The sequence below is a fragment of the Homo sapiens genome, chromosome 2 (assembly GCF_000001405.40).
Source record: "Homo sapiens chromosome 2, GRCh38.p14 Primary Assembly".
NCBI classification, from domain to species: domain Eukaryota; kingdom Metazoa; phylum Chordata; class Mammalia; order Primates; family Hominidae; genus Homo; species Homo sapiens.
The window spans coordinates 31392132-31418348 of record NC_000002.12 but is presented as its reverse complement, the minus strand read 5'-3'; the positions used below and the strand labels follow the sequence as shown (position 1 = coordinate 31418348).

At 41.9% G+C, this 26217-nt stretch overlaps 1 protein-coding gene across 3 annotated transcripts in view, besides 2 other annotated features; it reads left to right on the top strand.

Annotated features, from left to right (window-relative positions):
* Positions 1819-1868: an enhancer, noted in NCBI's record as "active region_15553". NCBI's record gives its function as "activates an Ori minimal core promoter by ATAC-STARR-seq in GM12878 lymphoblastoid cells {active_cell/tissue: GM12878}" and the evidence as "EXISTENCE:reporter gene assay evidence [ECO:0000049][PMID:35858748]".
* Positions 3607-26217, top strand: part of XDH (xanthine dehydrogenase) — an 80422-nt gene continuing 57811 nt past the window's right edge. For all 3 annotated transcript variants that reach the window (XM_011533095.3, NM_000379.4, XM_011533096.3), the window contains exons 1-6: positions 3607-3724; positions 12385-12442; positions 15205-15301; positions 17021-17129; positions 19650-19776; positions 20620-20681. In XM_011533095.3, the coding sequence (XP_011531397.1) occupies positions 3683-3724; positions 12385-12442; positions 15205-15301; positions 17021-17129; positions 19650-19776; positions 20620-20681 (495 nt within the window). In that variant the 5' untranslated portion in view covers positions 3607-3682. The remainder of the gene's footprint in view (positions 3725-12384; positions 12443-15204; positions 15302-17020; positions 17130-19649; positions 19777-20619; positions 20682-26217) is intronic.
* Positions 17834-18034: a silencer, noted in NCBI's record as "fragment chr2:31623181-31623381 (GRCh37/hg19 assembly coordinates)". NCBI's record gives its function as "represses an EF-1alpha promoter that drives an FKBP-Casp9 reporter gene in an ReSE screen in K562 erythroleukemia cells {active_cell/tissue: K562}" and the evidence as "EXISTENCE:reporter gene assay evidence [ECO:0000049][PMID:32094911]".

The following is a 26217-nucleotide window of genomic DNA, read 5'->3' as shown; positions in this document are numbered from 1 at the left end:
ATAGAGTGGCTGAATGGAAAAATAAATAAATAAAACAAGACCCAACTATAAGCTGCATACAAGAGACTCATCTCACATTTAGGACACACATAGACTGCAAGCGAAGGGATGGGAAAAAATATCCATGAAAATGAAAACCAAAAAAGAGCAGGTTGGCTATACATATATCAGATAAAATAAACTTTAAGTCAAAAACTGTACAATGAGGCAAAAAATTATTATATAGTGAAAAGGGGCTCAATTTCTCAAGAGAATATGACAATTGTAAATATATATGCACCCAACATTGAGACACCTAAATATAGGTCTAATCCCAGCACTTTGGGAGGCCAAGGTGGGCAGATCACCTGAGGTCAGGAGTTCATGACCAACCTGGCCAACATGGTGAAACCCCGTCTCTACTAAAAATACAAAAATTACCTGGGGCTAAATGGGAGTGCTTCAATGGTGGGTCTGTGAGCAAAGATTGTGAACTTGTTCAAGACAAATGAGAAAAAGAGAGTACTTCTTCCTAGGAAAAATTTCATCAGCCTCTCCATGCCTTTGTTATAAACAGACAGAGGCCCCATTTAACTGGTCTAGAGAATTTTGGAACCAAACATGAGGGTGGCACATGCCTGTAATCCCAGCTACTCGGGGGGCTGAGGCAGGAGAATTACTTGAACCAGGGAGTTGGAGGTTGCAGTGAGCTGAGATCACGCCACTACATTCTAGCCTGGGCGATAGAGCTAGGCTTGTCAAATAATACAGAATTTCAGTCAGATAGAAGGAATAAATTCAAGAGATCTGTTGTGCAACATGGTCACTGTAACTTAATAACGATGTATATTTTGAAAATCTCTACGACAATTTAAGTGTATTCACCAGAAGAAATGATAAATATGTGAGGTAACATGTATGTTATTCAGCTCAATGGAGCTATTTAACAATGTATACATATTTAAAAACATCATATTATACATGATAAATGTGTATGATTTTAATGTTAATTAAAGAAATAAAGTCACAGAGAAAGAAAATGGTGGCAAATACTTTGCTAAATAATAAGTAATCATACTAATTCAAGTTTTTGTCAAATGTCAGTATTTGGGGTTTCAACTAGTTATTACAGAGCTGAAAATTCTGCATGACAACACAAACCCTTATTGAAAATTTATTTCACTTTTATCTTTCAATGCTCCATAGTAATAGAGAGGAATTTCACCTCTAGTTAAGAGAGGGGTTGAAGATTTGCTGAGTGGGGAGAAGCACACCAACATTAGTTTCTCCTGTGGACAACAGATTTAATCTATGTTTTATTTCATTCAGCTAAGAGTTGGTCCTTACCAAGCAATTATGGCCACCTCCGTTTTGTAAATGAGAATACTGATGCCAAGAGAGAGATTTTTGCCAAAGGCGGCACACAGAAGTGGTGGAGCTAACATTCAAGCCAGCCTATGGAACTCCAAAGCCTGAGCTCTTTCCTCAGCCCGTCCCTTTAGCTTTTCCTGGAGCATTGGCTGGGGAATGCCTAGGAGGAAGGGGAGGGCTTGTTAAATTGGGTAGATTAGTGCATGGAGGAAAAGCCTCTCAATCAAAGAGGTGTGAGGGTTTGGAAGAATTGACTAATTACAAAACATGCCCTAGGCTCAGTCTCTCTCTCTCCCCAGCTCCTTCCTTCTTTCTTTCAGGGCAGAATTTCTCCAGCTTGGCTCTATTGACATTCATTGTTGTTCATTTTATTGGGGTGGGACTGTCTTGTGGTTTGTAGGATGTTTAGTGGCATTACTGGCCTCCATCCATTAAATGCCAGTAGCATCCCTCCCCAGTTGTGACAATAAAATATATCCCCAGACATTGCCAAGTGGCTTCTGGGGTAGGGAATCTCTCAGATTTAACAACCGGTTTTGGTTTCGGTTTTGTTTTTGAGATGGAGTCTCACTCTGTCGCCCAGGCTGGAGTGCAGTGGCATGATTTCAGCTCACTGCAACCTCCGCCTCCTAGGTTCAAGTGATTCTCCTGCCTCAGTCTCCAGAGTAGCTGGGATTACAGGTGGCCCACTGCTCCCAGATAATTTCTGTATTTTTAGTAGAGATGAGGTTTTACCATGTTGGCCAGGCTGGTCATGAATTCCTGACCTCAGGTGATCCACCCACCTTGGCCTCCGAAAGTGCTGGGATTATAGGTGTGAGCCTCCATGCCCAGCCAACAACCAGTTTTATAGTGACCAACCATCCCAGTTTGCCCTGGACTGAAGGATTTACTAGGATCTCTGAGGCATTTGTCAGGGATTCAAGGCTAAAACTAGGATAGTCCAGGGCAAACTGGGATATTTGGTCAACCAACAAGTAAAGTTTCATCTCCTGGTTAAATTAAGGCTGTGGTGAGAGGGGGCATTGTGTTGATTGTGTGGTTGTCCTGTCAGTCTTCAGTTTCTCTAAGCTGTTGCTATATCAAGTACATCTGCCTAATACTCCTTTCTTCCCCCTCAGGTAGCCTGCTAGGGTTGTAGGGGAGGTGTCTTACTTAAGGAAGGCTGGCTGAGCCACTGTATGGGTCATTACAGGACAGAAGAAGACCAGAGTGAATGCTGGTCTCTGTGTGTTTTTTTTTTTTTTTTTTTTTTTTTTTTTGCGTGTGTGTGTGTGTTGAACTAAAGAACTGGTAGGGGCAGTTGGGAGGGTGCTGGACTGCAGAGAGCCCTTTAGTGCTGCTCCAGTGGACGTGCACATCTGTGTTTCCACTGAGAGTTAATGGATATTGGATGGGGAAAGGTTTTCAGCTATGTGTTACTGTAGCCTATGACTATGTGGTATGAGCATTTTAATTTATTTGGTGTTTTGAAATACTTTTATGAGTTACTCTGACAACTTGTCAAGGATATTTTCCTGAGAGAAACAAATAAAAGACAAATCTCAAAAATAGTTTGCTATTAGGATTTTATTTGTTGAGATGTTGAAGATGTCTTTTCAACAGTGATACATGTTTTGGTTCTTTGCAAATTTACAAGGCACTCCCAAAATGTCATTTGTCCCTCATTCTTCTATTCTTGATATCATTCTATGATCCTGTACAGGATGAAAGCAACTGAGTTCTGAAGGTAGTAAGTAACATGCTGAGGTCAAATGCCAGGATTTGAGTCAGGTTCATGGGGCTCCATGTCCTGTGACCTCTCTGCTCCACCAGGCTGTGAAAGAATGACTCTTGCATTCATGCAGTCAGTCTGTGTTGCTGTAAACCTGAATGGTAAAATGACAAATGTAGACACAGAGGGTGTGAATCAGCTCTATTAGCAGTGACTCTGAGAATAGTCCTTTCCCTCCTCTGTCTTCCCCTTCTCTGTCTTGCAGCAAGTGGGAGGACGAAGCAGGTTTCATAAGAGCAGCGCCCAAGACCCACAGTCGCCTAGTGCCAAGTCAACAACCTTACTGATATCTGGATGTAGTTTCCTGTGCTCTTTGACACAGGTGTGGAGATTGTAATTTGCTGTGTGTGATTGTTTGCACTTCCTTGATTATGTAAACCAGTGGCTTTTGCCAAGAACTCTTCATGCCCTGAAGCTCTGAGCTGGTTCCCTCCCATTGGTGGACCTTATTTCATTTTATTGGGAGGCGTAACTTTCAGGTCACAGAGCAGTGATAACTACCTGCCAGTGTCTCTTAGGAGTGAGGTACCTGGAGTTCGGGGACCCCAACCTGTGACAATGACAGCAGACAAATTGGTTTTCTTTGTGAATGGCAGAAAGGTAAGTAGGAGCTGACCTTTGGTTTTGTGTCCCTTCTCCCTGGGAGGGGAAATGTGTCCTCTGGCAGAGCCATATCTTGTTCTCTGTCTTTCCTGTCCCCTCTTACTTGTTCTGTCTTTCTCTCTCTCGCTTTAAAGGTGTCGCTGCATTTTGGTAACATTAGGGAAGAAGACCTTCTCGGGGCTAGAGCACAGACAAGATACTCAGAGGCCAAAGAATGAGGGAGAGAGAGGCAAGCAGAGAGGCATCTGTGAGCTAGCTGCCAACTCTCTGCAGTAGTGGAGATTGGCACAGAATGAGAAAGGGGAGTTGAGTTCTAGGTGAGATTTGAGGTCATCACCACACTTCTATTTCTGTCTTTAATCAAATATATCCTAAAATTTACGTTGCTCTCTTTACAGAGAGAAGGAACAGGAATGTGTTTTCCTGCTTTTATCAGGATATAAGATGTACGCAGCCTTTGATTCTAATATATTATATATATAGGTTTAACAGCCAGTCCTGATTCACTGTGAGGTGACATATACTGACACCTTGTGGCAAACCACAATTTTTTTTTCATAAAGGGCATCTCCTGCATTCCCCCCACTCCCCACCCACACACAGTGAGTTCTACATGTAAGCTGCAAATCTGTTACCTACTTGAATTTACCTTATTGGTACACAGGGACTTAGGGAAGGTGACATGGGTACCAGCCCTTGGACAAGAGTGAGAATCTTTGCAAATTTTAATGTGGTGCAGAGAGAGAGGGGGCAAGCATATTACATGGTCACTAGCCTCCATTTGCCCTCCTACAACACTGCTGAGATGCTCATACCTGTTCAACTTCCCACTTAGGAATGAAAAGGATAGTAAAAGAGTCCCATAGTTGCACATTGTAACTTACTGTGTGGACTGTGCGTGATGAATGTGCCCAAAGTGTCCCCCAAAGAAGGGCAATTTTATTTGTCTTTCTATATTGGCATTTTTGCATTGAGTTGAGAAACTTTTGATGTAATTTTGAGTGACTTTTGGTATAATTTTCAAGAACAATAATGTGCTTCACTGGACTCCTAGGTCTTAAATTTCCAGGATGTGTTTGGGTGACTGTAAAAGAAATTTCATGAACTGTTTCAACGTCAGTGCTCCAAAGATTGATGGACTCTCTTTGAGTGGTGCCTTTGGGAAGTGCTGGGGAATGGGGACAGCCATGTTCTTCTGGGTTCAGAGTTTCCTCTCTGAGCTGCATCCTTTTCAGGGTTGGCACCTGGTACCAACCCAAGAAGTAGGGCAAAGCTTTCAAGTGTAAGATTTTGCATCCAGCATTTCAAACAACTTCTTTCCTTCAGCAATTACATTGTAGAAATCTAGGAAACCATTGTGCAATTGGCTTTCTAGGAGAGCTACTTACACAAAGCCATCTCTGGAATTTTTATTAGTAATTTTTACATTGGGTAAACAGCTAGATTCAATGACGTCCAAGGTCATGTCTTACTCTGAGGTTTTATTATTTATTAAACCAAACCATTGGTTAACCTGTAAAAGTATAAGTTTCTGCTCTTCTTCAGGGATGGCTTGCTGTTATGCACTAAATCTAGAAAGAAGAATTTCAAGGTAAATCTGGCTTGGGGAAAATTATTTTCCCTTGCATTTTACTTTCACTTTAGGAGAGTAATTTTAAATTTTTCGATGGTACCATCACATCAAATCCTATTATTTCTAGAAGCTTCTACTACTGCCAGTTTCTGTGATGAATATCCATGTTTGTAATTTATAATGATGTAGCATCTTCAGAAACTGCAAGAAAGGTAGAGGGGCAATGCAGAAAGTAATTATGTGAAAGCAATGCTGTAAAAACAAGACCAAGCAAGGGAATTCCTGGGTAAACAATGGCAGCTGTGAGAAAGTTGTCCTCATTTTTATTCAGAAGATATTCTAGACCTTTTGTTACAGGAATTGTGCAAAGTAGTTACCAAAGAAGCTGTAAGAACTTAGTGACTCTTTTTTTTTATTATTATACTTTAAGTTCTAGGGTACATGTGGACAACGTGCAGGCTTGTTACATATGTACACATGTGCCATGTTGGTTTGCTGCACCCATTAACTCGTCATTTACATTAGGTATATCTCCTAATGCTATCCCTCCCCTCTCCCCCCACCCCACGACAGGCCCCGGTGTGTGATGTTCCCCTTCCTGTGTCCAAGTGTTCTCATTGTTCAATTCCTACCTATGAGTGAGAACATGCAGTGTTTGGTTTTTAAATGTGAGCCTACTCCTCTCCTTGTTTTGTACCACTGTCCAGGACTCTGGCTTCACTAAATGGGGTCCTGCAGAAGGTGTTCGATGCAAGAAGTCGAATACCTCTAGGGCCTTCTGTGGTGGTGATGAGCCTTGATGACTATTGTTTTCATTCACATCTTCTTTTGTTCTAGAGTCAGAGTCAAAGGGAAAGAGCTGTCCAGTATTTTATTTTTATTGTAATGACAGCCTTTTTGCAAGGCAGCATTCTAGCTTTTCTGAGTAGTCACTCTGTCTAGCTGAGACTGTGGCACCTGGAAGAATCTGGGAGGATCTGGCAGGTTGGGTGCAGCCAAAGGTGTCCAGGAGTGATCCCCACAAGAAGTGAGTGTCAGCTACAGAGATCGTCACGGTGACTTTCACTCACTCACTCACTCACTCACTCACTTACTCATCATTCACTTGCTCACTCCCCATATAGTCAACATTTATCAAGCTCCTTCTGAGGCCTCAGACAACAGGATATGCACTGGGGGAATAAGATCTCCAAGATCAGGCATTTGCCATTCTGGAGCCCATATACTAGTTAGAGAGATGGATTATAATTAGACAAAGTAATACCTTCTGAAATGTATTTCACAGAAAACTAGCAGCATGAGATGCTCTTCTTGGATATTCTTAAACCACTTAGCACAGTGCATGGTATACAGTAGGTGTCCAACTAGTGTGGATGGAATAAGTGGATGAATTTTTAAAACTTTGAGAAATCCTGTAGTAAATAAATTACTTCTCTAACTTTGTATTTTACAATTATTTTATATTTAAAGAAAAACTGCAAGAAGAATACAAGGAAATACTAAATACCCTTTATGTACTTTACCAACTGTTAATGTTTTGCCACATTTGCTTTATTATTCTCTCTTTCTCACTCTGGACACACACACAGATACACATGTATGTATTATAAGTACGTAAATAATTCTATATATTAATGTACATAATTAATATAAATGAATATATAGTATAAGATAGATTTCTGAACCTTTTGACAGTAAGTTTCAGACATCATGTTCCTTTAGCTCTTATCCTAAGAATAAATATATTCTTTTTTTTTTTTTTTTTCCTGAGACAGGGTTTCACTGTGTCGCCCAGGCTGGAGTGCAGTGGCGCGATCTCGGCTCACTGCAACCTTGCCGCCTGGGTTCAAGCAATTGTCTGCCTCAGCCTCCTGAGTAGCTGGGATTACAGGCGCCCACCACCGTGCCTGGCTAAGTTTTTGTATTTTTAGTAGAGTTGGGGTTCTACCATCTTGGCCAGGCTGATGTTGAACTCCTGACCTGTGATCCACCCACCTCGGCCTCCCAAAGTGCTGGTATTACAGGCGTGAGCCACCGCGCCTGGCCAGAATAAATATATTCTTACAAAACTGTAGTCCATTTATAGAAATCAAGAAACTTAGCTTTGGTGTAATACTATAAACTTTATGCAAATGTATTCCAATTTTCCCAATACTGGCATTTATAACTCCCCAACCCCAGCCCGGAATCCAAGATTACGCCTTGCAGTTGGTTGCCATGTCTTTAGTCTCCTCTAATCTAGAACAGCTCCTCAGCTTTCCTTTCATGACATTGGTGTTTCTGAAAAGAACAGGCCAGTTTTTTTTTAGAATGTTCCTCACATTGAATTGTATTATGCTTTCTTGTAATTAGATTCAGAGTCTGCATTTGGGGGGCAGGAATACCACAGAAGTAATGTGTTTTTCTCACTGCATTCTGTCATTATGTTTGTTTTTTTAACGTCAGTTTTTGGGTCTTTTTTGTGATGCGAACTTTGGTGACTTGGCTAAGGTGTTATCCACCACGTTTCTTCACTGTAAGGTAACTTTTCTTTACCTTTATAATTAATAGAGGCTATGTGAGAAGATAATTTGGAATGATACAAATTCTTGTTCATCAAATTTTCACCCACTAATTTGAGTATCCATTGATATTCTTTTTTTAAATAATTTTTATTGTGGTAAAATACATAAAATTTACCATCTTAATCATTTTTATGTGTACAGTTCAGTGGTATTACATACATTCATAATATTGGGCAACCATCATCACCGTCCACCTCCATAACTTCTTTCATCTTTTAAGACAAACTCTATAAATTTACTAAATAATAACTCCCTATTCTACCTTTCTCCCAGTCCCTGGAAACCATCATTTTTTCTGTCTCTATGAATTTGACTAAACTACCTCACTTAAGGGGAATCATACAGTATGTCTTTTTGTGACTGGCTTATTTCATTTAGCATAATGTTCACCTATGTTGTAGCATATGTCAAAAATTCCTTCCTTTCTCAGGTTGAATAATATTCCATTGTATGGATGTATCACATTTTGCTTATCCATTCATCTATTGATGGACATTTTGGTTGCTTTCACAGTTTGGCTACTGTGAATAACGTTGTCATGAACTCAGGTGTATAAATATCTGAGACCCTGACTTCAATTATTTTGGGTATAAATCCAGAAGTGGAATTGCTGGATCATATGCTGGTTCTATTTTTACTTTTTTGTGGAACTGTCCTACTTATTTTTCCACAGTGGCTGTATCATTTTGCATTCCCATCAACAGTGGACAGGTGTTCCAGTTTCTCCACGTCCTTGCAAACAGTTATTTTCTGTTTATTTGTTTGTTCGTTGATCATAGCTATCCTAATGGGTATGAGGTGAAATCTCATTATAGTTCTGATTAGTGATGTTCAGCATCTTTTCATTTATTTGCTGGCCATTTGTAGATCTTTGGAGAAATGTCTATTCAAGTCCTTTGCCCATTTTTGAATTGGGTTTTATAGTTGTTGAGTTTTAGGAGTTCTGTATTACACTTGATCTCATAGTCACTGATGGCTCATTGCAACATTTACATAAAAACCAGAAGAAAAGAGAAGAAGGGGAGATGGAAAGACCTTTAATTTTTAATTTTTGGGGGTACATAGTAGATCTACATATTTATGGGGTACATGAGATACTTTGATATAGGCATGCAATGTGTAATAATTACATGATAGAAAATGTGGTATTCATCTCCTCAAGCATTTATCCTTTGTGTTACAAATGATCTAATTATACTTTTTTAGTTATTTTTAAATGTACAGTTAAATTATTATTGACTGTAGTTATTCTGTTGTGTTATCCAACACTAGGTCTTTTTCATTCTTTCTATTTTTTTGTACCTATTAGCCATCCCTACTTTCCTCTTACCCCCTACTACCCTTTCCAGCCTCTGATACCATCCTTCTACTCTATCTCCATGAGTTCAATTGTTTTGATTTTTAGCTCCCACAAATCAGTGAGAACATGTGAAGTTTGTCTTTCTGTACCTGACTTATTTCACTTAACGTAATGACCTCCAGCTCCATCCATCCATGTTGTTGCAAATGACAGGATCTCGTTCTTTTTTATGGCTAAATAGCACTCCAGTGTGTATGTGTACCACATTTTCTTTATCCATTCATCTGTTCACGGACGCTTAGGTTGCTTCCAAATGTTGGCTGTTGTGAATAATGCTGCAAAAAACATAGGAGTGCAGGTATCTGTTTTATATACTGACTTCCTTTCTTTTGTGTATATACCCAGCAGTGGGATTGCTGGATCATATGGTAGCTCCATTCTTAATTTTTGGGGGAAACTTCAAACTGTTCTCCATAGTGGCTGTACTAATTTCCATTGATGATTCTTAACTGGATCAATTGTGTTGATTACAAGATGGCCAATCATATTTATTAGATGACATTCTTCTGCCAGGAAGAGCTTTTCCATATCTTCCATTTGTTTGTTTGTTGACTCTATTTGGACTCATAGGTTTTAATTGTATTTAATGTATTATAGCCCATTATGGCTGTTATTTCTTTTGATGCTCAAGTTTTACCAGAGCAATCTGCTTAACCCAACATTTCCTTAACTCACTTCCCTACAAAATGTTTTTCCTTTGGGATACCCATTGGTATCCTGTTGAGAGTGTTCAATGGAGTGCACCATGGTAATCCTGCTGTCACACCTTGAGAGTGGCACAGTCATTCTCTATAGCAATCCACTTGTGGCTGGAGTGATAAGGAAAGCCTTTATGAAGAAATTGTTTGAAGTCTTCTGATAAGTCAAAATGCAGGTGGAAGAGGAATGGCATAGTCAAAGGCACAGGAATTAGAAGATATAAAATGTATTTTTAGTGCACTAAGATGACCAGCTTGGCAGGGAAGTAGAAGGGAGAAAGGCTGAAAATGAAGATTGGGAATATATTGAAAAGGGCCTTGAAAGACAGCCTAAGGAACTTGGATGTTACCTTGAATATGTGGGTGGTCATGAAAAGCACTGAGCAGGGAACTGATGTGATGTGATAAAAGCAGAACTGCAGTACGGGAGAAATGAACAATGTGGTGGTAAGCTAAGAGGCTCTTAATGTTGTCTACAAGAAAGGTGATAAAGATTGCTATTTTGTGCATTTATGATTACTTCTATGATTTGTAACCAGGATATTGAATAAGCTGGACTCATGGGGTGTAATCACATAAGAAAATTAATTTCATCTACTTTCCTTTAAACTTTATTCAAAGGACAAATTCTGGCAGTTTCATGAACTTTTTATTACTCTTAGTCAATAAAAAATCTTATGGTTATTTTTAAGTTGCCAAACAGTCTCAATTCAGGACGGCGGGGTGAGGATAGCAAGAAAGCTCTCCTTTAATTGGTACTATTGTAAGATGGCTTCCGGCTTTCTGAGCCTTTTAGGTGTTTGGAGCTGACCTTTCATTCTTCTTGTGATGGCTTTCAAGGATCTTCAAGGGCCACCACAGGGAATATTTGCATGCATGTCTCATGATATGAGTGATGCACTTTTCTCAGGCTGCTGTTCTCCATCAGCCTCCAGTTTGGGGAAGTCCACTCCACACAGTCTCTCTTTATTGAATGCTCTATCCTGTATTTTGGGAAATGATTTAAAGACCTCCAAGCCAGCTCTTTTTATCTCATGAATGGCTTGCATTACATCCATAGGCGACACTTCCACATCCTCTGCTCTACCAAGCTCCGGGAGTGTATACCAACCCCAGCACAGCCACCTCTCCAACTTAAGTTTAATGAGGAGTTTAAACTTGTCATTGTCGGTATTAATTTCTTGTTAAGCCTATCTCTTCCCCTATGCTGCAAAGGTGGCATGTTAGATTTTTATGTAGCACAAAGCAAGCTCCCTCACTAAGTTTGAGGTGGGAGGCAAATATTCCTCCCCTTCTCCTTTAGGAAGGTGTGGGTAGTATAGTTCCCTCCAACGAAAACCTTATCATGAATTCTTTCTCTTTATTATCCCAATAATATACACCCTTTTAAGCTTTGGTAATGTGTGAAGAGTACTGAAATCGGTTTTTGTAGATTTCCTTTGACAATTCACAGTGGGAACTGACATCGCACTTTCTAGACCACTTTTTCCACCTTATTGAACCTAGTGATGGATCTTTGGTTTGAGATTTCTCTTTCATTTCTGACATGTATTAGTGTTGACTAATACGCATCACATGCCAACACTCTGCTCTGAGCACAGGCCAACAGAATGGCCTTCCACAGTCACATGCAGGATCTGAGATTGTATACTCAAAGAGGCAAAGTCCGAGATCTGCATGCCATGCTCTCAGATGCCCCTGAAATTCACAGGTGTGATCTAGCAGTTGAAATGAGATGACAGGTTTTATTTGAAGGGGATTTGGCCTTGGTCGAGCCAGCGTGGAAGGTGCAATGCCTGCATGTTCTGTGGTGGGTCCCAAGGTGAGCATTGAGGTACAATTTTAGAATTTAAGGATTTGAGTATATACATTGTCTGGCTGTAGTTTATAGGTTCATTCTTATGGAGTTGCCATAAAAATACCTTAGTTTTCATGATCTATTTAGCACATTGTATTAGGCCATTCATGCATTGCTATAAAGAAACACCTGAGGCTGGGTAATTATAAGAAAAGAGATTTAGTTGGCTCACAGTTCTGCAGGCTGTACAAGCATGACACCAGCATGTGCTTGGCTTCTGGGGAGGCCTCCAGGAGTTTTTACTCATGGCAGAAGGCAAAGTGGGAGCAGGCACATCACATGGCCAGTAAGAGCAAGAGAGAGAGAGAAGGGGGTGATGCCACATACTTTTAAATATCTCGTGACAACTAATTCACAACTAAGGGGATGGCACTAAGCCATTCATGAGAAATCTGCCCCCATGATCATATTGCTTCCCACTAGGCCCCACCTTCAACACTGGGGATTACAATTAAACATGAGATTTAGAGGGGCAGAGTGCAAACTATATCACACTTCCTACTAACTCTACAAATTATTGAGTGAGACACTGAAGGAAGAAATTAATTGCAGAAAGATGACTAAGTATACCTATGATATATTTTTCTTTCATTTATTTTAATAGGTGGTGGAGAAAAATGCAGATCCAGAGACAACCCTTTTGGCCTACCTGAGAAGAAAGTGTATCCTGACTTTGGAGTGGGAGTGACGGAGAAGGGGGGCAATGGTGACTGATTCTGTAGGCCTTACATTGTTTCCTAGTGACTGGTGGGGTGGCCTTGAGGTGTGGAGGAAAGAGCACTGGATTAGGACTTGGGACACTTGCATTTTAGTTGCACCTGTAATCTGAAATTCTCAGCTACTGAATGAGAGGATTGTTTGTGGTGATCTTCGAGGTGTCTCCCCGCTAAGACTCTAGTAATGCCAAGGTTTAATCCAGGGCCTGTAGAAAGGTCCTCATTAGCCTTGGTGAGCTTCATGGTCATTCCTCTGTGGGAAGAGGGGGGCCTTCCTTAGGTGACATTTGCTTAATACATAAATGGAGTTCCTGGGGAATGTTTCCAGCTCTGCCTAGGTGGAGGGAAGCAAGGGAACATGTGTCTATTGGGAAAAGGATGCGTGAGGTAAGAATCCTATACAGGTAGCATTCATTGTAGAAACAGCAAACAGGGAGCCCTGGAGGGTGGGGGGACTCCTTAGAAAGACTGGGGTGCTGCTCTTCACTCAGTGTGGGTGGGGCTTCTGGAAAAGCCCCTTTACCTTTAGTTCTGAGTATCGGAAGTATTCTGGGACCCTGGAACTAAAACGATAATAATAATTGGAGTTAATATTTAATGAGCACTTCCTATATACAGGCAGGATTCAAAGTGATTTGTGCAGCTCACCTCAATCTCCACAGGAATCCCATGGAAGCGTAACACTCCCTTTTCACAGAGGAGGAACTGAGGCCTTGATATGTGAAGTGACCTGCCTTTTGCTAGTGTGTTCTGGGGAAATAGTGATGGAGATTGCACCAAAGCCTAGAGCTGTGTTCCCAACCTCTCACCCGCACTGGCAACTCTCCAGGGGGCCTGTGAGCAGGACTGTGCTCATCCTGACCTCTGTCAACAAAACCCTCCTTCTCCTAGCGGGGGTGTCTAGTGGGTCTTTCCAGTGACATATTTGGGGACAGCAAAGATTATTATAACACGCACAGAAGTGAGACTGGAGCCCATGCTTTCACTCTGGTTTGCTCCCCTCCTATCAGACAGTACAGTGGTTGGCTTTGGTGTACTTTGTTCTGGATTTTTTACCTTAAGTGGGTGTATCTGGAGGTTCACAGAAGATAAACCTGGTGGTGCTGGGGAGTGAAAGTGTCACTAGATCGGATCAGGTGATTGCATGGAACTCCATTTACAGCCCATCTACCTGGGAGGTCTGGGAAGAGAAGCTCATTCTCAGAGATTATTGAGATCAATTTTAGCTTTCTAATAATAAAACAAATTTTAATTTTTTAATCATTTCCATTGTAGTTTTGAAGGCCCAGAAGCCTCAGAAATTCCTTATCAGCAATTGGCTGTGTCACATCTTAAATGAAATGCAAAACTGAAAGTTGGCACATAAGTAGGATGACCTTGCAGCTTATGGCTATCTGTGCTGAGAGTCAATTTATGGGAGTTCCAGATGGGGGAGAAAACTCCAGCCTTGACTTTTACACTAGCTTCCAGAAAGGTCTCCAGGCTGGAAGAAGACCTTGCTAGACTTTGTACTGCCACCATTCATCTTCAGGTGCCACCATTCGTCTTCAGGTGCCCCCAAAGTTGTTTGACCTGCTGAGAGCTGCATATATCCTGACTAGGACACAGAAAACCTTCCCAGGTGTGCTGGGGAGGAAGGAGCGTGATGAAGGGAGCTCACCCAGTCTGGAGTCCGATGGCTGTGATGGGGCCACACCGGCAGGGTAACGTGTTCCTGTGTCATCTTGTGTGGCCCACGTTACCTCTTGGGTCTCAGTTTGTTGTTTTTTTTAAATCTGTGAGGAAGTTTCTTTCCTACCTGCTAACCAAATCATTCTGGAGGTCAAACAGGTATCTAGGTGAAAGTGCTTTTCAAAAATAAGATGTTATATCATTGTTTTTAAATTTTGTCTTGAAAATGAGAGAAGTGACCAGGCGATTATATCCTCAGTTCCCTCCATCTTCAGTAGGTAGTGGGTGGCTTAGAGGCCTGCAGGTCTGAGGGAGAAGCAGCCATGTGACTCAGGGAAAGTGACCTCCACAATAGCTGTTCTCTAGAATAGCTTACCAGTTAGGCACTTTTAAAACTCAAAGTAGCAGATGGTCTTTCTGCAAGTATATGTAAGAGTGAGGCCCAATATTGGACCCAGACCTAAAAAAACCACTCTATTTTAATTTCCATTCACATATCTTTTGGACCAAATATTCAAAAGCCTCTGGTCTAGCCCTAATTTTGATTCTTGGGGACTTATCAGCCCAAAAAGTTCAGAGTGAAAAGCAAGGACTCAGAGGTCCCAGAACAGATCAATGTCTCATTCTGGCCCAAGTGGCTTCATGGTGTGCCCAGCTGGGAGTGATGTGAGAACTGCCCCGTATGCTCAGGTGTATGATTTACCTGCTCACACATAGAAGACCTCAACCCAAGAGAAGGCTCTAGGACTGACCAGTCCTAGAACTCATGTCCCAAGAGATGCTACTTGGGTGCTGTCCATGGGGTTCTGATGCCTTTGCTCTTCTGTGCAGTGGAGATGGCCGTGTTCCCTGCCTCCCTAGGGTGCAGTGCAGCCCCTCTGAATAAGGAGGCCAGTGGGCCTGCTGCCTTCCTTGGTTGAGGGGCCTGAGCACGTGTGGGAATGAATGGCTCTGCCCACAGCTCTGCCCAGGCATTTCCTAGCAACCCAGCAGACTCCTCTCCCTGAGTTCATTCTCCTTAACTCTTGACCACCCAGTGGGGCTGAGTGGAACCAAGCTCGGCTGTGGAGAGGGGGGCTGCGGGGCTTGCACAGTGATGCTCTCCAAGTATGATCGTCTGCAGAACAAGATCGTGTATCCTTTGCCTGCTGGCTGACCACCCACATGGGGGCTGCGATGCAGGACCAGCTTGTGAGGGAGTGCATGAGTGTATGTGTGTATGTGCATGTGCGCATGTGTGAGCCCCTGTTTTTATGGAGAATCTGTGCACAGGAAAACTGTAGAATGATCTCTTAGCAAGTATCTTCTAGGCTTATAATATTGACCAGGCTCCGAACTGCTGATAAAATGACTTTTCTAAAATCCACATTTATATCACATTCCATAAAGCCCTTCAATAGCTCTTCATTGCCCCCAGGACAAAATCTCTTTGCTTAGCGGGCAAGGCCCTGCACAGTATGCCCCAGGTTTCTTCTCCAGTTTTCTTTCTCACCATGGGCCCAGCACTCCATTCAAGCAGAGATAATTGTGAAATACCAATGACACAGGCCCACTAATTGCTTGGTCTTTGTTTAAGCTGGGAAGTTCTCCTAGGATTTCTCTATCTGACTAACTCTTACTAGCTCTTTACAACTGGGCAAAAATATCACCCCCTCCAGGAAGCCATCCTGGATCTCTCAAGACTGGGTTAGGTGCCCCTTGACTGTGCTGGTCCCATAGTGCCCTGTGCACAGCATTCCCAATGTAAACTCAGGCATGATACAATTTTTACAGTTTATTTGAGAAAACAACAGTTCATGAGCTCAAGCAGCTCCACATTAGAAGCAGTTCAGGAGCTCCACCAGGGAAATGCAAGCAGGAGGTTTTTGTAGGATGGACACAGGCAAAAAGCAAAGAAATTATTTGATTGGTTACAATTATACAATTGCCTTACTTGGTCTATCCCACTGGAAAGTCCCTAGTACTATAGTTATAAGTTTGTTGACTACTTCTGATTGGTTGATCGTAAGGCTTTTTTTTAATATAAAGATATTCGTAAGAAGTAGCTCAAGTTAAGACTCTGCTGCAAATCAAGCACAGTTTAGGTCACTTGTGAGGCCTAACTGGTTTCCTCTGCTGAGTCTTCAGGCCTGGTCTCCTTTTTAATTTACTTTAACAAGATTTAAATTGCACCTTCATATGGACTTTGGTTTTCTCAGTTGACTGCAGTCTGTTGAAGGGCAGAGCTTTCATCTTATTCATCTTTATTTTCCCAGCCCTCAGCAGAGTGCCTGACTTATGTCTGGCACTCAATAACTGATGCTGAATGTAAGTGAATGAGTGATGAATAACAGAAGAATGCAAGGAAGTTCTAGCTAAGGGCTTGCTGTCTCATGTTGCCTGGGGGTTTCCTCCCCCTTTCCCCACAGAGAAATGAAAGCAATAGAGGCGAGGAAATGCAGGGAAGCAAAGTGATTGGAAGCTAAGGAACAGCCCTGCAGGCAGGAGCATGCTTTAAGGCTGCAGCCTGCCAGAGAAATTTCCTCTTGACTCAGCCTCCTGGGTCAGGCTGAGTAAGAGGTGACTGAAAGTGACCCTGGCTCCGTTGCTCCTGCTCAGAGGCTGAGGATGCTCTGATGCCTGATCCCACAGTACTCTGGAGGGGCTCAGCTTTACCTATAAGGAGAGCTTCCTTTGTTCCTTTCCCAGAGTCTTCAGTGGAGAGGTGAGGACACTGGTAGAAGAGACAAGAACATAAATGGGAGCGGAGAGACGTAACATAAAGCCTCACAAAGTCCTCCAGAGCTCACAGTCAGGCCCATTCTGATGATCTGAGTGGACAATAAATGGAATGACCTTAATCTGGGGTTCTAGCCACTTTTCTGCCAATGCCTGCCTGGCCCCCATCTGCTCCTTGCACCATGTTGCAGTGACAACTGTGGAAGGAATAGGAAGCACCAAGACGAGGCTGCATCCTGTGCAGGTAAACAGAGGAAAGGGAGCTGTGCTCTTGAGATCAGGCTCTTTCCTCTGCAGGGAGGCTCATGCCAAAGTTGCAGACTTGCTTTGGGTTGTTGGGAAGAGTTTCACTGCTTAATCTAAGAAGGCATTTCACCCTGGCCACCTCCCCATCTCCTCTGGGTACCGTGAGGTGAAAAGAAGAAACACCCAAGCCTGAAGCTCCTTCCTGTGAGCTGGTTGGTTATAACATTGCATGATCTGAAGGGACCCAAGAGGCCAACTGAATCTGGTGGCTAGACCAGTCCAGAACTTGGAGGAAGGGATGCAGAAGAGCTTCCTCACTTTGTTCTGGAGTGTGTTTAGGAAACTCCCAGCCTTCCCAGATTTGAATTTTAATTATCTGTGCCCCTTGTTTATAAGCCCACTTACTCCCTGCAATGGTAATTCTGCACCCCTTACCTCCCACCCGCAGATAGTACAAATGTAAACTGCTAGGCCTCCTCTTTCATTAGACTGGAGGTTAGCAAGTGCTAAATAAGATGACAGAGATTTAGTGCCTGAGCAAGGCTTTCTCCTTGATGGTATCAGACCACCTGAAAATGCATTGAAATCCGAAACATTTCTGGGGCAAATGGGCAGTAATAATCTTAGACTGGTTTGGGGAGACAATCAGGATGCTGTTAGGCTGAGTGGAAAGAAAGGGGAGTAGAGCCCTGTTGGAAGGAACGGCCATTGTCCCCAAAGCATTTTGTTTGAGGAAACTTGGGGTCTTTGGGAGATCGAGACTATCCTGGCTAACATGGTGAAACCCCATCTCTACTAAAAATACCAAAAAATTAGCCAGGCGGAGTGGCGGGCGCCTGTAGTCCCAGATACTCAGGAGGCTGAGGCAGGAGAATGGCGTGAACCTGGGAGATGGAGCTTGCAGTGAGCCGAGATCGTGCCACTGGACTCCAGCCTGGGCGACAGAGTGAGACTCCATCTCAAAAAAAAAAAAAAAAAAAAGAAGTTACCAGAGCTTGGCCCAGGTCTTAATCCTCCCTTGATTATTTGAGGAGACATGTCATTCAGGCGATGGAGCTGGAGCCTCCTGCGGAGAGGCTGGTACTATTCCTTGGAGTGGCATCTTGGGCCAGTCATGTGAGGCCAGCCAGGTCGGGGTGGGATTGCTTCCCATCTATAGATTTGTTTCTTAGGCAGGAAGAGGGGAAATTACTAAACTTGTCCAACCTGAAGGAGACGTGAGAGGGTTAATTAAGGCTTGTTATTTTCTTTGAAACAAACAGATGAAAGAAAGAATAAACAGTTTAAACATAGGAGTCAAGTATTAGTCTATTCTCACACTGCTGATAAAGACATAACCAAGACTGGGTAATTTACAAAGAAAGAGAAGTTTAATGGATTCAGTTCCACATGGCTGGGGAGGCCTCACAATCATGGCAGAAGGTGAAAAGCACATCTTACATGGTGGCAGACAAGAGAAATGAGAGCTAAGTGAAAACAGAAACCCTTCAGATTTCGTCAGATTTATTCACTACCATGAGAACAGGATGGGGGAACCACCCCCATGATTCAGTTATCTCCCACAGGGTCCCTCTCGCAACACATGGGAATTATGGGGGCTACAATTCAAGATGAGATTGGGGTGAGGACACAGCCAAACCAAATTAGGTTGTATCTGTATAATCAACCTAAAATCCTCCCTATCCAATGGTACAGGTTCTTATTCCTAATCAACTTATTTTGGCTACAAATAGGCTTCAGAGCCAGATTCCACTTCTTGTCCATTTATTTGTTTTCTCTTGGTTTCTGTGACACTGTGGTTCTGGCTTTTCCTTCTCTCCCCACACTTGCTCCTCCTCTGCTCAGTCTCTAATTGCTGCAGTGCCCTGAGCCCTGACCTGGGCCCCTCCCCTTCTTCATCCCTATACTCTCATTTACAACTTCAGCTTTGACCTCCCCTCAGAAGTTACATTTCCAATTGCCTATTTGACATCTCAATACGGATGTCTAATCTCAAACTTAAGAAAACCCTACTCTTTTCCTAATGGCTTCCTTCCCCAGTCTTCTCCCATCTGAGTCAATGGCAAAGCCATCCACCCAATTGCTCAAGACAAAAATCTAGACATCACCTTTGACTGTTTCTGTCATATGCCACACCCAATCCATTCAGAAGCTGCCTTCTGGTTATGATAGTCACTGTTCTTTGAAGGGACCTTCCTAGTCATAGCTAACACTGGCTGACTGCCTGCTATATGCAGGTACAGTGTTAAGGGTTTTACATGAATATCTCAGTTAATCCTCATCGCAGCTCTAGAGGTAACTACAAGGATGGTCCTCATCATACAGATGAAGAACCTAGACTCAGAGGGCTTGGAAACTGGCCAAGGTCACAGTTGGTAAATGGTGGCACTGGGGCTTGACTCTGTGCAGTGATTACTACCCCCACTATCTCTCAACATGTGCTGGCTCCAGTCGAGTCCTTTGGGGAGCCTGGGAGGGTTCTGCCATCCCAGGTGTCTATGTCATCTGTATCTTTTAGGAGAGAATTGCCAAAAGCCACGGCTCCCAGTGCGGGTTCTGCACCCCTGGCATCGTCATGAGTATGTACACACTGCTCCGGAATCAGCCCGAGCCCACCATGGAGGAGATTGAGAATGCCTTCCAAGGTATGGGCCTTCAGGCACAGCCTAGGAGGTGGAATGGCAAACGAGGCCCTGCAGAGGTCAGGGCAAGTGCCAGGGTGAGAAGCATGAGGGACTACCCTTTGGAGGAAGGGCTCAGGCCCCCCAACAAGGTGGTGACTAAGATCTGCTAGAAAGCCAACCCTCTCTTACTTGGGAGAACTCCTGGTTGGTGTGGAGACCTCCTGGGGTCTCCTGCCTTTGTGTCCATATTTCTGAGGTGTCTGTCTGCCTTCCACCAGTATTGGAGTGGGGTTGGCAGTGCATGGCTGGTGCAGGAAGACGTCATTTAGAAAACTCCACGGGGGCTAGTGATATGATTTCCTTCCCTCTCAGTTTTCACCAGAACAGGATTCTGCAGGGCCAAGACCACCAATGTGTCTGCTTCTCTGAATTGAATAGAGAAGCCTCCCCATCTATTCACCATTTCCATCATTTATTCAGTTATTTTAGTCACATCCTATGCCACAGGGATAAAAGACACACCCTCTACTCTCAAAAAGTTCATACTCTGAAGAGGAGAGTTTGTAATGTAGTCTGATAGGCTAACTGATGAAGCTGTGATCAGCCACTGTGGGAGCACTTAGGAGAGGTACCTGACTCAGTCTGGGCATTCTAGGAAGGCTTCCATTCTAGGAAAGACTTCCTGAAATCATGATAACTTTTCTGAAGTCAGGATATGAGAAGGCCAAGAGGCCTTCCAGACAGAGGTAACAGAATATGCAGCCTGGTAAAGAGAGCACCCAACTTAGTTGCAAGCAAAGTCACAAACTCCTCACCCATCCCAGGGCCCTGCACTGACATTGCAGTTTTTTCCTTGGCCCACAGGAAATCTGTGCCGCTGCACAGGCTACAGACCCATCCTCCAGGGCTTCCGGACCTTTGCCAGGGTAAGTGGGGACCCCAGAACATCAGTGTCTCTGCTTCTAAAATGGCAACACTCAGAAATCACTGTGGGGAGGGAGACCAAGGGCCTCTGGTCTACAAACAATGATGATAAGATGACCAGTTAGTGAGTCTTCCCTCTGGGGACATCTGGCATGGGGAGTAGAGTCTGCCATTCTTATTCAGGGAAGGGTTCTTATGAATAGCATGGGACTTTCTGCCAGTGATGGTCTGGAGACCGGCTTCCTGGAAGAGGCTCACCGCCTGAGAGTGCCTTTGAGCTTGGCAGTGCCTTTGGGCTTGGCAGCTTTCCCTTGGAGACTGGCAGGCTCAGCCCATGGCACAGGTGCTGAATGTAGCATTTAATAACAACGTGGCCTTGCTCAGCACTTGCACCCCTCCTCCTTCCCTCTCCTGGCTGCTTTCTGTGGCTGGCACTCTGTTGGGCTTATGAAACTGGTAATTAGATCTCCAGACAGTTTGTGAACCCCTGCAATGTTCATATAACTCTGAGTGAGAAGTCACAGCCGGATGTGTGGGCATTGATTATATAAACACATACACACACCTGCCATCTGGCAAGGAAGGCAGAGAGCTGGCATCTCCTTTCTTGGCTTAATCTCCCCCCAGGTTTTACTTGACTTCTCAATTGGGCCACGTTAATCCTGACTCCAAATCAAACCATCTCATTTCAGTTTGATTCTGGGTCCAGGGGAGTTACAGACTCCTGTGCTTTCCACTCACCTTTAGGGTTGGAGCATCATGAAAAAGAGTGCTGTGTCTGTATAATCGTATAATCCAAGAAGGGGTGGGTAAACAAGGAGACAGGACCTTATAAGGATGGAAAACACCACACTCTGATTAATGCTGCTGCTGATGAAGAATTAACAAGTGTGGAATTAAATGAAAATGCCTAAAAGCACAAATTCAGATTCTGCAGACCTGGGTTCAATTTGAGGCACTTAATTGATGCACGACCTTGGGCAAGTCTCCTTGTTTCTATTAGGTTGGTGCAAAAGTAACTGTGGTTTTGCCATTAAAAGTATGGGAAAAACTGTAATTATTTTTGCACCAACCTAATAAAATGGTGATTTTATTAGGTGATTTCATTAGAATATCTACCTTACTGTGTTTATAAAAATTAAGTACTTCTTGAAAAGCTTTTAGAACAATGCCTGGCACATTTCTGTTATTCAATAAATGGGAACTATAAATTATGAAGCTGGTATATTTCTTCCAGTAGCCTCTATATAATCTTCCCAAGTTACTCACTGTTTCCTGAGACCCAGAGATTGTTAATCTTGCCTCTATTTACTTCATAAGAACCTGCTCAAAGTGATATAATGTAATCAGTCCTCTTAATTTTTCAAAAGAGAAGGATTTTTGAGTATAGCAGTTGCCTTCCCTCCTGGAAGTTGAAATCGCTCTTGATTTCACCATGCAGAACTTACCTCCCTCAATTCAGCTACCCTGCAGTGCAGAGCAGAGCAAGACTGAGAGCTCTGAGCAGCCAAAATGCCTGACACACAAAAGGTGCTCAGAAGCTAATGCATGTTACTCATCGGAGGTCTCCGAGATGTTTCTTCAGAGCCTTTTTACTTTTATTTTACACACAGCTCTAACAAACTCGGTTACTAGCTTTCCTGTCCACAGCACACACTAGAAAGCGTGTGGAGGGTCAACTAGAGGTGGGCACACTGCTCACGGCGAGAAGTGACCACAGCTATCTGGTGACAAGGAAAGAAATGGAGGAACCATTAAACAGGTACAAGCAAGACTTCCAGTTTCTGGTCTGGCATGTAAGCAGCTTAGGAGTCTTTATTTCATCTAAACAAGAAGAAAAAGGCTGAACAAACTGAAGAATCAACAGTTGTTTTTAGATCCATCAGAGGAATGAGGTCACAGGACAACTCATTGTCCAAAAAATTGGAGAGACAGACAGGCAGACACGGCATATCAGAGCAGAAACCTCTGCAGGAACCTTTGCCAGGATAGGAAGATGTAAGGACTAACTGATGAATTGCTGGAGTTTATACATGGATATAAACTCCAGGGGGATGCAGTCATGGAGCGGGTGCTCTACACCTTTGTGAGTTTTACCTCCAGGATCTCCACCAGGTCCTCACAGTAAATGTTGGAGAAAAATCTCCTTGTGTTTCTGGTAGGGAGTGGGAAAAATGAACCATTTTGGAATATGCCAGAGCATTCTGTTCTTCTTAAAAAGGCCTGTCCTCAGAAGAAATTATTTTACCGCAGCCTAAACTTCTGAGGTTATATTAGATCCTCGCCTACCTTGGGGAGGGGAAATACGCAACCCCAGGACCTTTAGTCTTTCACCTGTGGGAAGGGAAATACACAAGCCCAGCCCCCTCCAGCCATCCTGTCCCACCAAACGGAGAAAAAAAACCCTGAGAAGCGCTTGTGAAGTTCACAGGTGAGCGGCACAAGCTCACCAAAAAACTGAGACTAATCCTAGGACTATAGGATACTTCTCCTTCATATCTTACCAATACATTAACTAAAGGCCTATTTATATGAGGTCTTTTCAGCCAGTACATCATGTCCACCTTTCAACCAAAAATTATAAGGCATAGTCAAAGGCAAACACAATTTGAAGAGACTGAACAAACAGCAGAACCAGAGTCAAATAGGACAGGAATATTGGAATTAACAAATGAGGAATTTTATAAAGCTATGATTAGTATGCTAAGAGATTTAATGGAAAAAATAGATAACATACAAAAACAGATGGATAATGTAAGCAGAGAACGGAAATTCTAAGAATTAAAAAGAAATGCTAGAGATTGAAAACGCTTATAACAAATTGAAGACTACCTTCGGTGGGCTCATTAGTAGACTGGACATGGCTGAGAAAAGAATCTCTGAGCTTGAGGATATGACAATGCAAACTTTCAAAACCAAAAAACAGAGAAAAGGAAGTGAATGAAAACAAACAGAAACAAATAAGAACTGTGTGATAACTACAAAAGATGTAACATATGTGTAACGAGAATATCAGCAGTAAAAGAAGAAAAAGAGAAAGGAAAAGAAGCAATATTTGAAACAAAAATGACTGAGAATTTCCCAAAATTAATGTCAGATTTTAAACCACAGAGTCAGGAAATTCAGAGAACACAAACCAGGATAAGTACCAAAACCCAAAACCAAACAAAAACTATACCAAGGCATGTGATATTCAAACTTCAAAAAATCAAAGGTAAAGAAAAATGACTTGAAAGAAGCCAAAGGAAAACACCCCTCACCTATAGAAGAGCAAATATAAAATTATATCTGACTTTTCCCAGAAACCATGCAAGCAAGAGGCATGGAGAGAAATACTTAAAGTATTGAAAGAAAAAACCAAAGCACCTAAAATTCTGTAACCTCCGTAAGTATCCTTCAAAAGCGAGTGAGAAATATTTTCTCAAACAAAACTTGAGATAATTTGTTGCCAGTAGACCCATCTTGTAAGAAATATTAAAAGAAGTTCTTTAAAGAGAAGGAAAATGATGTAGGCCAGAAACTCAGATCTACATAAAGGAAGAGCATGAGAGAATGAACAAGTAAAGGTAAAATAAAAATTTTTATTTTTCTTAATCTTAATTGGTCTAACAGATAGCAATTTGTTCAAGACAATCATAGCAACCATGCATTTGTTTATGTGTGCATATGTATATATATATGTGCTTGTGTATAAGTAAAATGAATGACAACAATGATAAAATAAACAAGAGGGAAAAATTAGAAATATTTTGTTATTATAAGATACAATCACTACCTGTAAAGCGGTGTAGTGTTATTTAAAAGTGGACTTGGATTAGTTAAAAATGTATACTGCAAACTCTAGGGCAACTACCAGAAAAAAAAAAAAAGAAAAAAGGAAGTATAATTGATACTTTATGAAAGGAAAGGAGATGAAATTATATATAATGCTCAGTTCAAACCACAAAAGTCAGAAAATGAGTGAAAGACAAAACTAGAAACAAAGAATAAGGACGACAAATAGAAAACAATAACAAATATGGTAGATACTAATCCAACTATATCAATGATTACCTTAAATGTCAGTGATCTAAATACACCATTTAAAAGACAGAGATTGTTAGAGTAGATGAAAATAACAAGACCCAACTATATGTTGTCTACAAGAAACCTACTTTAAATGAAAAGACACAGATAGATTAAAACTAAGTAGATAAAGAAAGGTGGACCATGATATACTAATCGAAAGAAAGTGGAAGTAGCATATTAATTTTGGACAGAGCAAACAGTTATCAGAGAAAAAGAGGGGCATTAAAAATAATAAAGGAATCAATACTCCAAGAAGATATAACAGTCCTTAATGTGTGTGCACCTAACAACAGAGCTTCAAAATACATGAGGCAAATCTGGTGGAACTGCAGAGACAAATAGATGAATCCATTATTATATGTGAAGACTTCAACACCCTTATATCAGAAATGGACAGCACCAGGCCAAAAATCAGTAAGGACATAGTTGGACTCAACGGCACCATCAATTAATTGGATATAATTGACATTTATAGACTACTTTAGCCAACAACAGCAGAAAAGACATTTTTCTCAAGCTCACGTGGAGCATTCACCTAGATGGACCACATTCTGTGCTATGAAACACACATTTACAAATTTAAATTGCATGAATAGAGATCATACAATGTCTGCTTTCAAACCAAAATGAAATTAAACTAGATATCGATAACAGAAAGATAGCTGGAAAACCCCCAAATGCTTGAAGATTAAACAACACAATTCAAAAGAACACATGGTCAAAAAGAAAATCTCAAGGGAAATTTTAAAATATTTTGAATTAAATGAAATTGAAAATACAGCTTATCAAAATTTGCAAGATGCAGTGAAAACAATGCTTAGAGGGAAATTTATAGTATTGAATGCATATATTAGAAAGGAAGATTAAAAATCAATAATCCACCAGGCACGACGGCTCATGCCTGTAATCCCAGCACTTTGGGAGGATGAGGCGGGCGGATCACGAGGTCAGGAGTTCAAGACCAGCCTGACCAACATGGTGAAACCCTGTTTCTACTAAAAATACAAAAATTAGCCAGGCATGGTGGCACACACCTGTAATCCCAGCTACTCAGGAGGCTGAAGCAGGAGAATCACTTGAACCCAGGAAGTGGAGGTTGCAGTGAGCCAAGATTGCGCCATTGCACTCCAGCCTGGGTGACAGAGTGAGACTCCATTTCAAATAAATAAATAAATAAATAAATAATAAAAATAAAATACAAATAAAATCAGCAATCTGGGCTCCCACTTTAGAAAACTAGAAAAAAAAAGGCAAATTAAATTCAAAGTAAGCTGAAGAAAAATAAAATTTGGAGCAAAAATCAATTTCATTGAAAACAGACAATCAATAGAGAAAATCAACATAACTGAAATTTGGGTCCTTAAAAAGATCAATGAAATTAATAAGCCTCTGGCCAGGCTAACTAAGAAAAAAAAGAGAAGATCCAAGTTACTAATATCAAAATAAAAAGATCTCACTATAGAGCTCATG